The 14,426-nt window shown below is 39.7% G+C and overlaps 1 protein-coding gene and 1 pseudogene across 11 annotated transcripts in view; one reads left to right on the top strand and one right to left on the bottom strand.

The window, feature by feature from the left end:
- The window catches only part of HIKESHI (heat shock protein nuclear import factor hikeshi), a 43,704-nt gene that overhangs the window by 17,600 nt on the left and 11,678 nt on the right, over positions 1 to 14,426 (bottom strand). Inside the window, exon 3 of one of the 11 annotated variants that reach the window (NR_136324.2) lies at positions 9,285 to 9,408. The exons of 9 other annotated variants lie outside the window; for them this stretch is intronic. Coding sequence is in view for 1 of the 2 variants with exons in the window: in XM_047427117.1 (XP_047283073.1) it covers positions 1,668 to 1,671 (4 nt within the window). In the remaining variant the exon portion in view is untranslated. Of the gene's footprint in view, positions 1 to 1,667; positions 1,832 to 9,284; positions 9,409 to 14,426 lie in introns of all 11 variants that reach the window. One more of the 11 variants, XM_047427117.1, reaches the window with a different exon arrangement.
- Positions 4,050 to 4,332, top strand: RN7SL225P (RNA, 7SL, cytoplasmic 225, pseudogene; annotated as a pseudogene).

Raw genomic sequence — 14,426 nt, 5'->3', positions numbered from 1 at the left:
GAAGTTGTAGTGAGCTGAGATCGTGCCACTGCACTCCAGTCTGGGTGACAAAGTGAGACTCCATCTCAAAAAAAAAAAGAAAAGAAATGTAAATGTTGTTTTCTCCTTAAATTTACTTTAGGAAAGGAAAATATTACACTTAGAATAGTAAATGAAAAATCTGAGTATCTAGATCCTAATCCCTGCTCTATTTCAGGAACAATAAAAACTTTCTAGATTTCAAGAGCCTTAACAGTAAAATTAAGGAATTAATTATTTTAGGGCCTTTCATTCTAATATTTCATGGCTTTCTGTTATACCTGGCAGGGATATGCTCTATTAGTTTTTCATGTAGTACGAAGTACACTGTATCTTTACTAAGATTCTAAAAACTGTCATGACAATCATGATCCATTACCCATTCAGGATCCTTCCTCCTATACCATTTGTTTTAAAGGCCATTTTAATCCAGGAACTTAGTTCCACTTCTAGGAGTTTCTTCTACAGAAATACAGTACTAGAAACTATGTACAAAGATATGTATAAGAATATTTATTATAGCATTGCTAGTAAAACAATTAAAAAATGGAAACCCAGATTTCCATTAATAGGGAATTAAAGTACAGTATTGCCATATAACATATACCTGTTTGAAAGCGGTAGATCTATGCATACCCACTAAAAGTTAGCAGACTGTCTGAGCAAAAAAATTAACTTCCCTGAAATTCAGTGTCTTGAAAACCAGAGGCTTGGCTGGGCGCGGTGGCTCATGCCTGTAATCCCAGCACTTTGAGAGGCCAAGGCGAGTGGATCACGAGGTCAGGAGATCGAGACCATCCTGGCTAAGAAGGCGAAACCCCGTCTCTACTAAAAATACAAAAAATTAGCCGGGCGTGGTGGCAGGCGCCTGTGGTCCCAGCTACTCGGGAGGCTGAGGCAGGAGAATGGTGTGAACCCGGGAGGCGGAGCTGGCAGTGAGCCGAGATTGCGCCACTACGCTCTAGCCTGGGCGACAGAGCGAGACTCCGTCTCAAAAAAGAAAAAAAAAAAGGAAAACCAGAGGCTTATTAACACCAACCTCTTAAGGATGCTGTGAAAGATAAATATATAATACATATGAAAACCTAGAACACTGCATTACACATAGCAGATATTCAATATATGCTACCCTTTCATTCATTTTTCAATCATTATAACACCTTCCTAATTGGTTTCTCTGCCTCTAATCTTAATAAGATTCCCCAAGCCATTCCAGACAATTATTTTCCCAAAACACCATTTTGTTTTGTTTTGGTTTGGTTTTAGAGAAGAGATCTCACTATGTTGACCCACGCCAGTCTCAAACTCCTAGGCTCAAGCAATCCTCCCACTTCAGCCTCCCGAGTAGTTAGGACTATAGGCACACGCCACCATGCCCAGCTCTAAAATACCATATTAAGATCTTGCTCAAACACTTGCTTACAAGAAAAAATTTAAACCCCACATTAGCATGATCATCCATACAACAGTCCCAATTTACCGTTAACACCTCACCTTTCACTCCACCCAAACAGGAACCTATCATGCCACCCTTAAAAGTCTCCTCCTCACTGTCACTTGAAGATGCACTGCATATTTCTAGTTTTATGACTTTAATCACCTCCAAGTGTGATTCCCATCCACCCACTTCCATCCCATCCAAATCTTACTCATATTTCAAGTTCATGCTCCAGTCTAATCTTCCATAGAGAGATTCTCATTTATCTCAGCTCACTATTCTGTCTCCTCTGAACAATGTCTTGGTGTGATATTTAATATTCACACACACATGCAGATGTTGAAAGTAGGCAGCAAGTAGATGTTCAATAATTACCTGATGAATGAGAACACAACAAAGTCTTCACTACATAAACAGAAAATTTTTCTTCTGTAATTTACTTAACAGAAAGGCCGAAAGTAACTTCCCAAGCTTTCACAATGTAAATGGATAATTACATAATATAACAAAAGACCTTATAGCCACACATATTATAGTACCTGCAGGTTCCCACTTTTTATTTTATTTTTTATTTATTTATTTATTATTTTGAGACGGAGTCTCCCTCTGTCGCCCAGGCTGGAGAGTGGTGGCACGATCTTGGCTCACTGCAACCTCCACCACCTGGGTTCAAGTGATTCTCCTGCCTCAACCTCAAGAGTAGCTGGGATTACAACCATGCACCACCACACCCAGCTAATTTTTGTATTTTTAGTAGAGACAGGGTATTGCCATGTTGGCCAGGCTGGTCTTGAACTCCTGACCTCAAGTGATCTGCCCGCCTCAGCCTCCCAAAGTGCTGGGATTACAGGCGTGAGCCACGGTGCCTGGCCTGAAGTTTTTAGTTAAATGCCCCTTCCACATTACAGACTAAAACCAGCATCTGAAGCCAAAACTGTAAGGAACCTCTTTAAACCTTCCCAAATTTTCCAACTACCAAACCTTATCTACTAAGCATGTGCCTTTTTTTTTTTTCTGAGACGGAGTCTCGGTCTGTTGCCCAGGCTGGAGTGCAGTGGTGCCATCTCGGTTCACTGCAACCTCCGCCTCCCGGGTTCAAGCCATTCTCCTGCTTCACCCTCCCGAGTAGCTGGGACTACAGGCACACACCACCACGCCCAGCTAATTTTTGTATTTTTAGTAGAGATGGCGTTTCACCCTATTGGCCAGGCTGGTCTCGAACCCCTGACCTCATGATCCACCCACCTAGGCCTCCCAAAGTGCTGGGATTACAGGTGTGAGCCACCACACCCGGCCACATGTGCCACTTTTTTGTTATTTTAGGATTTCATATCCCATGTTCCAAAAAAAAAAAGTTTCTTCTTGTTTCTTAGTATCAAAACATTTATTTTATGTTTTCAAATTTAGTCCTACCTGAGTTCTTAACCATCACCCACAGATTGTTCCAGCAACGGGGTAAAATGTATTTATCACATAACTCCTTTACAGAACCCAGGAGTCACAAAGAATCATCCCTCAAGCAAAACAAAACTCACAGTAACTGGCTTTAAGACACCCTACAAGTACATGTAGTTCTCCCAACAGAGCTCTCTTGACCTCTCCAACAAAAACTGTTCTGTGTGAAGTTAAGAAATCTGTTCACATCACATCATTCAGTACAGAATCATAAGCACTGCCAAAATTTTTCTCTTTTTTTTTTCCTTTTTTTTTGAGACAGGGTCTCACTCTGTCATCCAGGCTGGAGAAGAGTGGTGCGATCTTGGCTCACTGCAGCTTCATCCTCCTAGGCTCAAGTGATCCTTCCACTTCAGCCTCCCAAGTAGTGGGACTATAGGCACGTACCACCATGCCTGGCTAAGTTTTTTATTTTTTGTAGAGGCAGATTCTCACTGTGTTACGCAGGTTGGTCTGGAACTCCTTGGCTCAAGTGATCCATCCACCTCAACCTCCCGAAGTGCTGAAATTACAGGCGTGAGCCACCATACCTGGCCCCAAATTTCTTAACATGAAATTTGTTTCACTTGAATAACTCTCTACCCTCCAGCTCCCATAAAATTATGCTAGACTTATTACTTAATAAATTCTCAGTTCAATCAAGTGCCTGAAGTTACTTTAGCAAGCCTCTCCCTAACCCTGATGTGCTAGTTAGCAAGGTTTTCCCAATATAATCAAACTTAAACCCACAAGCTTGAAAGGGCACCTGAAAGGCTGAAAAATATAAACCTATTACAAATTCACCTATTCTTATATTTTAATGATACACCATTTCCTACTATGAATACTAAGCCTAATCTTTTATATATAAATTAAGAATTCTGACAGTTTAAACATTCAAAAAGTTTTCCAAACAACTAGTAAAGAACCACCCAAAACATTTTAATAGCATTTTATCATTTGTTTAATGTTGGTATGTTCTAAGTCTCTAAATATATTAAGTTGCTTTATTTTTCTGTAATAAAACATTCTGCTTTACCATCACAAATATTGCCCTGAAAATTTGTTTTCATGAATAAAACTATGAATAGTCTTGTTATAATGGAAATGATGAAAAACAATTTATTTTTTAAAAAGCCAATGGGCCAAACATATTGGTGTGCATCTGCGGTCCTACCTACTTGGGAGGCTGAGGTGGGAGTACTGTTTGAGCGCAGGAGTTCTAGGTTGTAGTGCACTACGCTGGTTGGGTGTCCACACTAAGTTTGGTAGCAATATGGTGCCCTCCTAGGAATGAGAGACCATCAGGTTGCCTAAGAAGGGGTGAAACAGCCTAGTTCGGAATGGAGCAGGTTCAAAACTTCATGCTGATCAATAGCGGGATCATATCTGTATATAGCCACTGCACTCCAGCCTGGGCAACATAGTGAGACCACATCTCTTAAAAAATAAATAAAAATAAAATGTAAAAATAAAATAAAAAGCAGACAATAAAAGAACTAGTATTATCATAATGAAAACAAATCCATTTTCCCATACTGGATCAAGTATTACTCTGGGATTGAGTTTTAGACTGTTTAACTCTACAAGAGAAAACATATGTCACTGAGAAACTATTAAAGTTTCAGATACAGTAATTGGATTAACTCATTTTTTATTGAACTTTCTCCAGATTGGATGAAATAATACAATAAGGAAATGTCTGTGTTCTTATGATCCTAAAGTGCCTCCCCAATCTCTTACGTGTCACAAGAGAAAAGACAGCCAAAAGTACAAAAAGGATAGAACATTTTCACTGTTCCCTAAGCATCTCCTGTAGGGAATAACCAAAAAGAAATACTGTGCCCCATTCCAAATTCAAAACATTGGCAAAACTGTGGCAAGAACAGGCAAAGATGGGGGAAATTAAATTGACAATTTGATTGGTATGTCTCAAAAAACAACCAATGTGTCCTGGTCTAGTGGCTGGTGACCAACTTCACCTTAATCAATGCAATGTACTCTGGGTACAAATTAGCTTGCTTCTCCTACTGTATTGCTTATGATTATTATATAGATATAAGTATTTATTTAATCTTTCATGTTTTCCAACTGAATCTTTCTGTTTTCCAACTGATATCACGTTTGTCAAAAAAACTATAAAAGTATCTATTTACATTTATTTCTTTCCTTTTAAAATCAATACATAAATACTCATATATTTATATTTTACTTTTTTTTTTTAAGACAGGGTCTCACTCTGTCCCCCAGGCTGGAGTGCAATGGTATGATTGCAGATCACTGTAACCTCTGCCTCCTGGGCTCAAGCAATCCTCCTGAGGCCTCAGCCTCCCAAATAGCTGGGACCAGAGGCATGAGCCACTACAATCAGCTAATTTTTGAATTTTTTGTAGAGATGGGTTTTGCTACGTTGCCCAGGCTGGTCTTGAACTCCTGAGTTCAAGTGATCCACCTGCCCCGGCCTCCCTAAGTGCCAGGATTATAGGCATGAGCTACCGTGCCCAGCCTATATTTTACTTTAAAATAAGCAGTTGAGAGCTCCCAAGTGAGTATCAAGAGAACATGCTTGATGATGGATGCAGAAAAATATGTTCATGATTTTGTCTTTTCAACCAATGTTGGAACCACTAAATATCCATTTGCCAAAAAAAATTTTTTTGACAGATTCCTTGCAATAAATATTAAATTTAATTCAAATTGGATCCCAGTTATAAAGGTAAAATCTAAAACTATTAAAACCTCTAGGAGAAAGTCTTTGCAACCTTGGGTTAGGCAAAGATTTCTTACATCAAAAGCACAACCCAGAAAAGAACAAACTGAAAAATTAGACTTCATCAAAATTTAAAACTTCTCTACAAAAAACACTGCTAGAGGGGATGGGAAAAAACAAAAACACTGTTAGAGAAAAGAACAGCAACAGACTGGGAAAAAATACTTTCAAATCACATACCTGATAAGGAACTTGTATCAAGAATATATATACACATGTACATATATACACACACACACACATATACATATACACATATATATACATACACACACACACATATAGAACTCTTAAAACAACTTTAAGAAAACAACCCTATTAAAAACATGTAAACGATTTGGATATTAACCAGAGAAGATATATAAATAGCAAATAAGAACATTAAAAAATGCTCGGAGGCCGGGCATGGTGGCTCACACCTGTAATCCCAGCACTCTGGGAGGCTGAGGTGGGTGTATCACTTGAGGTCAGGAGTTCGAGATCAGCCTGACCAGCACGGTGAAACCCTCTCTACTAAAAAAAATATAAAATCAGCAGGGTGTGGCGGTGCTCACCTGTAATCCCAGCTACTCAGGAGGCTAAGGCAGGAGAATTGCTTGAACCTGGGGATGGAGGTTGCAGTGAGCTGGGATGGCACCACTGCACTCCAGCCTGGGTGACAGAGTGAGACTTGGTCTCAAAAAGAAAAAAAGAAAACTGCTCAATATCACTGGTCATTAGAAAAATGCAAATTAAAACGACAAGGGAATACTACCACACACCTATTAGAATGCTTAAAACTGACCATACCAAGTGTTGATCAGAACATGAAAGAACTGGAACTTTCATACACTCTTGGTTGAAATGTAAAACAAGGCCAGGCGTGGAGACTCGCGTCTGTAATCCCAACACTTTGGGAGGCTGAGGCAGGCAGATCACCTGAGGTCAGGAGTTCGAGACCAGCTTGGCCAACATGGTGAAACCCCATCTCTACTAAAAATACAAAAATCAGCCGGGCATAATGGCGGGTGCCTATAATTCCAACTACTCAGGAAGCTGAGGCAGGAGAATCACTTGAACGTGGGAGGCAGAGGTTGCAGTGAGTCGAGATCATGCCACTGCACTCCTGCCTGGGCAACAGAGTGACACGTGGTCTCAAAAAAAAAAAATGTAAAACAAAACAACCATGTTGGAACGTAGTTTGACAATTTCTTAAAAGGTAAAACATTTAATTACTGTATGATGCAGCCATTCTACTCCTAGATATTAACCCAAGAGAAATGAAAGCATAGGTCCATACAAAGATTTGCGGACAACTGTTCACAGCAGTTTTATTTTTATGAGCCAAAAACTAGTAACAACCCAAATGTCCATCAGCAGGCAAACAGCTAAACAAATTGTGGCATATCCATACAATGGAATACTACCCAGCAATAAAAAGGAATGAACACCATATAAAAGTGAAAAAAACGGGCCAGGCACAGTGGCTAACACCTATAATCCCAGTACTTTGGGAGGCCAAGGCGGGTGGATCACAAAGTTAGGAGTTCAAGACCAGCCTGGCCAACATGGTGAAACCTCGTCTCTACTAAAAATACAAAAATTAGCCAGGCATGGTGGTGCACGCCTATAATCCCAGCTACTCAAGAGGCTGAGGCAGGAGAATCACTTGAACCCAGGAGGTGGAGGTTGCAGTGAGCCGAGATCACACCATTGCACTCCAGCCTGAGCAACAGTGTGAGACTCTGTCTCAAAAAAAGTGAAAAAAATGAACACCACAATCAAAAGGATCGACATAACATGAATGACTGTAAAAATAATTATTCTGAGTAAAAAAAGCCAGACAAAAAAAAGAATGCATACTGTATGACTTCATCTATATAAAACTCTAGAAAATGCAAACTATTTTATAGTGACATAAAGTACATCAGTAGTTGCCTAGAGTGGAGAAGAGGTGGTGGAAACAGGTCCATTCATTGATTGTGGTGACAGTTTCTCAAGTGTAGCTATATCAAAATTTATCAAACTGTACACTTCAAATATGTGCAATTAACTGTGTGTCAATTATACATCAATAAAGCTACCACAATCTGTTAATAAAAAATAAATTTTCTTTGCTTTGCTTTTTGAGACAGAGTTTCACTGTTGTCACCCAGGCTGGAGTGCAATGGCACGATCTTGGCTCACTCCAACCTCCACCTCCCAGGTTCAAACGATTCTCCTGCCTCAGCCTCCCGAGTAGCTGGGATTACAGGCGCCTGCCAGCACGCCCAGCTAATTTTTGTGTTTTTAGTAGACAGGGTTTCACCACGTTAGCCAGGCTGGTCTCAAACTCCTGACCTCAAGTGATCCACCTGCCTCGGCCTCCCAAAGTGCTGGGATTACAGGCGTGAGCCACCATGCCCAGCCCTCTTTGTTCTTTACAAGATTTCTTAAGAAAGGATAAAAGCCTGCTTAAAAAGGAAACTGAAAAATTAAAATTGGGTCCAATGGATTCTGATGGTGTATCAATAGTTAGAATACATCATATATAAATCAAATATATCTAAACACATATATCCATGATTTCATAATTCTTTAAAAAAATTGTTTTAAGTACCTTTGAAGGATGCTAGGGAATCAACTCATTTTTGAACATTCATACATAAAGAGAAAGAATGAAGCATTTATCCTGCCTTTCCTATGACAACTCCACCCCTGGGTAACAAAACAGTAGATATGCAAGTTTATCTCTACAGACTTTACAGATATTAAAAAAAATGACAAAATTAGAATATTATCACTTTGAACCCCTACTCAATTAATAAATTACAAACAAATGGCTGCTAAGTTTCACACAAAAACATATCCATATATGTACTTCCTGGTGGAAAAACACACCACCACCTATAAGAATCCTGCCAAAACTTAAAAAACTAAAATCTGATTAAACCTCTAAGTCCAAGTAGTTTCTTGGAAATGGAGAAGAGAGAATACATTATCTTTGTATAAAAGACACTTGAGAGATCAACCAATTGCCATGTAAGGACCTTACATGGATGTTGATTAAAAGTATTTAAAAACTTATATAAACATAAAACTTTTGAGACCATTGACAATTTGAACACTGATTACAGATATTCAATTTGATATTAAAAAATCATTTTGGGGCTGGGTGCTATAACTCAGGCCTGTAATCCTAGCACTTTGGGAGGTTGAGGCAGGTGGACTGCTTGAGCCCAGGAGTTCGAGACCAGCCTGGGCAGCATGGCAAAACCCCATCTCTACAAACAAAAAACAACAACAAAAAAAAAACACAAATTAGCCAGGTGTGGTGATGTGTGCTTGTGATCCTAGCTCCTCGGGAGGCTGAGGTGGGAGGATCACCTGAGCCCTGGAGCTTGAGGCTGCAGTGAGCTGAAATCTTGCTACTGCACTCTGGCCTGGGCCACAGAGTGAGACTGGTCTCAAAAAAAAAAAAAATATATATATATATATATATATATATTTTTAAGCCAGGCACAGTAGCTCATGCCTATAATCCCAGCACTTCTGGAAGGCCAAGGCAAGAGGATCACCTGAGGCCAGGAATTTGAGACCAGCCTGGGCAACATGGCAAGACCCTATCTCTACAAAAAATAAGTTAGCCAAAGTGGTGGTGCATACCTGTAGTCCTAGCTACTCAGGAGGCTAAGGCAGGAGGATGGCTTGAGCCCAGGAGTTTGAAGCTATAGTGAGCTATAATGTGGACATTGCACTCCAGCCTGGAAAACAGAGTAAGATCCTGTCTCTAAAACAAACAAACAAAAAATTATCTTTAGATGTGATAACAGTATTACAGTTTTTTTAACTGTCTTTTAAAGACATACATTAAAATATTTACAGATTACATGTTCTAATTGTAGAATCTGCTCTCAAATAATATGAAAAGGGAGAAGTACATGGGCATCTAAATAAAATAACATTGTCCATGAGGTGGTCATTTCTGAAGCTGGAGGATGAGTAGAATGGGGTTCAATATTCCACTTAAATCTGCTTTTCTATATGCTTGAATTTTCTAGTAATAAAAATTTTTTAAATAACTTCAATTTACTTTGTAACTATTTAAGGTACTAGATAAAAATTCTAAATAAATAAAATTGACAAAGGCCAATATCCTCTCTCATATTGTCTTTGGCCATTGTTGGTATGAAGGTTATATTGGCTTCAAAATTTATTAAACTGAATAACTTTGCCTCTTTCTCTATTCTCTGAAAATTATAGAAAATATGAACAATTTGTTTCTTAAAGGTATAGTAGAACTTTGTAAACCCATCTGATGGCTGCATGAGGAAGGAAGAGGTATATTTTTAATTACTGATTTTAATTATTTTAATTTTATTGATATTACATCTATTCAGGATTTTTTTTTTTTTTTTTTTTGAGACGGAGTCTTGCTCTGTCGCCCAGGATGGAGTGCAATGGCGCGATCCTGGCTCACTGCAAGCTCCGTCTCCCGGGTTCACGCCATTCTCCTGCCTCAGCCTCTCAAGTAGCTAGGATTACAGGCGCCCACCACCACGCCCGGCTATTTTTTTGTATTTTTAGTAGAGATGGGGTTTCAACGTGTTAGCCAGGATGGTCTTGATCTCCTGACCTCGTGATCCGCCCGCCTCAGCCTCCCAAAGTGCTGGGATTACAGGCGTGAGCCACTGCACCCGGCCTTCAGGATTTCAATCTACTCTTGAAAGTAAATTATTTCAGTTTTGTTTGGTATATTCTTCTAGAAAATAGCCAATTTTGTCTGTTCCTATGTCATTTCAAATGTACTGGCATAAAACTTTATAAATTTTATTTGAAACTCTATTAAACTTGTAGTTATTGTTCTTCACATTTTTAATAACATTACTTGTGCTTTCTTTTTCCTTGATTCATCGTTTTTCGTTTTTGTTTTTTTTCTATCGCCCAGGCTGGAGTACAGTGGCGTGATGTCGGCTCACTGCAACCTCTGCCTCCCTGGCTCAAGCGATTCTCCCACCTCAGTCTCTCGAGTGCTGGGACAACAGGCGCGCACCACCACACCAAGCTAATTTTTTGTATTTTTAGTACAGACAAGGTTTCACCATATTGGCCAGGCTGGTCTCGAACTCCCCACCTCAGGTGATCCACCTGCCTCGGCCTCCCAAAGCAATGGGATTATAGGCATGAGCCACCACACCCAGCCCTTGATTCAACCTTTTAGAGGCTCATCTTTTCATCAGTCTTTTCAAAGAACCAGATTTTGGTTTCATTGAGCCTCTCTATTGTTTGTTTTCCATCATTAATTTCTACTTTTAGCATCATCATTTTCTTCTTTCTTTGGAATACTTATGTTAAATACTTAGATCATTCACTTCAACCTCACATTTTTTTGTTTCTGTTTTTGAGACAGAGTCTTGCTCTGTTGCCCAGGCTGGAGGGTAGTGTTGCAATCTCCGCTCACTGAACCTCTTAGAAATACTTAAGTCTTCCTAGTAAATTATCTCATTCCTTGTGAGTGAATCTCTTTATCCTTGATAATACTTCTGCCTAATCTAATTTTCTAATTTTTCTTAAAATTCATATACTTATGCAAGCTTTCTTTTGGTTCCTTGTGTTAGAATGTTTCAGATTCACAGCCGGGCGTGGTGGCTCATGCCTGTAATCCCAGCACTTTGGGAGGCCAAGACGGGTGGATCACAAGGTCAGGAGATCGAGACCATCCTGGCTAACAAGGTGGAACCCTGCCTCTACTAAAAATACAAAAATTAGCCAGGCATGGTGGTGGTCACCTGTAGTCCCAGGTACTCGGGAGGCTGATGCAGGAGAATGGCATGAACCCAGGAGGTGGAGCTTGCAATGAGCCGAGACTGTGCCACTGCACTCCAGCCTGGGCAACAGAGCGAGACTCTGTCTCAAAAAAAAAAAAAAAAAAAAAAAAAAAAAAAAAAAAAAAAGAATGTTTCAGATTCATTACTCATAAACAGCAACATAATTATTTTGTTTGCTGCCTTTAAATAAAAAAATCTCATTCTGGAATCTCTGTTTTCTCTGGTAAGTTTAATCTGTTTACATTTATATAAACACTTATATAAACTGATTTATACAACTGATAAAGTTGAAATTATTTCCAATGCCTTATTTTCTTTTTACTACACTATGTTTTTTCTTTGCTTTCCCCCTTTTTAAAATTTATTTTATTTCATTTTATTTTTTGAAGATGGAGTCTCACTCTGTCGCCCAGGCTGGAGTGCCGTGGTGGGGTCTCGGCTCACTGCAACCTCCACCTCCCGAGTTCAAGCGGTTCTCCTGCCTCAGACTGCCAAGTAGCTGGGATTACGAGCACCTGCCACCACACCCGGCTAATTTTTGTATTTTTAGTGGAGACGGGGTTTTACAATGTTGGCCAGGCTGGTCTTGAACTTCTGACCTTAAAGTGATCCACCTACCTTGGCCTCCCAAAGTGTTGGGATTACAGGCATGAGCCACCACACCCGGCCTTCTTTTCTTTTTCCTCTTTTCCTACATTCTAGTGGACTGTTTTCTCTACTACCTTTCCTCCACTTAGTCTAATGATAGGGAAGGTGCACTTTTTTTTTTTTTTTTTTTTTTTAATGGAGACAGTCTTGCTATGTTGCCCAATCTGGTCTTGGACTCCTAGGCTCAAGTAATCCTCTCACCTTGATCTCCTGAGTAGCTGCGACTATTAGCACGTGCCACCACACCCAGCTTACTTTTACTTACATTTTTAATAGGATTACTTGTAAGGAGAATCAATATTATTACTCTCCTTTTTAAGAACCGGACCTCAAAAAACAGTAACTCAGATACCACCCCTCCTGTCTTATATGTTTTTTTCTAGAACAGTAATTAATTCTTGTGTGTTTGTTATGCTGTTTTACACAATCAAGTTGTCCAGATTTGTCTATAGGTTTACCAATTTCTGTGCTAACTTTGTGTCTTGCATCCTTTTCTACACTCTGGGTTCAACTTCCTCTTATAAAGTACAACTACCTCCGGTAAGTAGTTCTTTCGCTAATGGTCTTCATCTTCATCTGAAAATATATTTCTTCACTTTAGAATGAGTTTTGAAAGTTATTTTATTTTTCTGGCTGGGAATGGTGGCTCATGCCTGTAATCCCAGCACTTTGGGAGGCTGAGGTGGGCGGATCACGAGGTCAGGAGTTCGAGACCAGCCTGACCAACATGGTGAAACCCCGACTCTACTAAAAATACAAAAATTAGCCGGGCATGGTGGTGTGCACCTGTAATCTCAGCTACTTGGGAGGCTGAGGCGGGAGCACTGCTTGAACCCAGGAGGCGGAGGTTGTGGTGAGCTGAGATTGTGCCATTGCACTCCAGCCTGGGCAGTAAGAGCGAAACTGACTCAAAAAAAAAAAGGAAGTTATTTTATTTTTCCTGGGCACTTTAATGATATTATTCTATTTGGTTTTGGCTTCTATTAATGCTCTTGATAAGTCTGCTAAACTAACTGCTGTTCAGCTATAAATGACTTTTCTCTCTCTCGCTGCTTTATTACTTTATATTTAATGTTCAGTAATTTTACTAGAATGTACTGAATTATCTATTTATATTTTTCTACTTACAGATACACTGTCTACTTCTAGGCACAACCAAAGCGAAGAATAAAAAATGATTTAAGAGACACTACCATCTTAATTTTCCCAAAGATTGTTCAAATACTATGTCATATGTATAAAGGGTATGTGTACCATGAATGCCCTAGAGCAGAAGTACTCAAACTTTAGCTTGCAACACAAACATTTGGGAACTTATTTACAGTACAGACTTCTAGATTCCACACCCAATTTCTCAGTCACCAGGTCTGCTGTCTTGCCAGGAATCGGCATTTCTAACAGATTCCCAGGTGATGTTGACACTGCAGATCAGGAAGGAGCTCATGCTTTAAGAACCATAGCCGTAGGGATTTATGATAATGATCTCATGAAACCCCCACTGAGAAGGACTATAGGGACTTAATCTGCTCCTTAAAATTAGAGATTAGTATTTATCATCAATTCTAAACAATTTTTAGCTTTAAATATTGCTCTCTCCCATTTCTTTCTTTCTTTCTTTTTTTTCCTTTTGAGATGGAATCTCACTCTGTCACCCAGGCTGGAGTGCAATAGCATGATCTTGGCTCACTGCAACTGCAATCTCCACCTCCTGGGTTCAAGCGATTCTCATGCCTCAGTCTCCCGAGTAGCTGGGACTACAGGCACATGCCACCATGCCTGGCTAATTTTTTGTATTTTACTATACAGGGGGTTCCACCATGTTGTTTAGGCTGGTCTTGAACTCTTGAGCTCAGGCAATCCACCTCCTCGGCCTCCCAAAATGCTAGGATTACAGGCGTGAGCCACCACACCCAGCCTCCCATTTCTCCTTGTAGAATACCAACTATATAAAACACTAACAGCTACCTCCTCTGTGAGGAGGTAGAACTGTCCCAGTTCATTCTTCACAGACGCCTCAGAGCAAAATAAAATCAGATATCATTCCTTTACCCAAAATTGTTCACTGGCTTCTCTACACCTACAAGAGCAGTTGTTTTGGGGGAGGGATACATGAATGGGCTTCAGAGTCGAAGCAAATATTTGAGTATTTACATTATGGTACACATACTTTGTAGAATACTATGGAATAGGTCTGTGACCTAAGCATGTTAAAAACTGCTGACCTATTACATTCCCAGTGAGTCAGTGTGCTACATAAAACTTCATAATCCATGCCTATCTTTCTCACATATACCCTGATGTCAATCTGAGGACACAATGCTTTCGAACTTTC

The sequence above is a fragment of the Homo sapiens genome, chromosome 11 (genome assembly GCF_000001405.40).
Source record: "Homo sapiens chromosome 11, GRCh38.p14 Primary Assembly".
Taxonomy (NCBI): Eukaryota; Metazoa; Chordata; class Mammalia; order Primates; family Hominidae; genus Homo; species Homo sapiens.
Note: the sequence above shows the minus strand (reverse complement) of the source record. Positions and strands in the feature narration are given on the sequence as shown.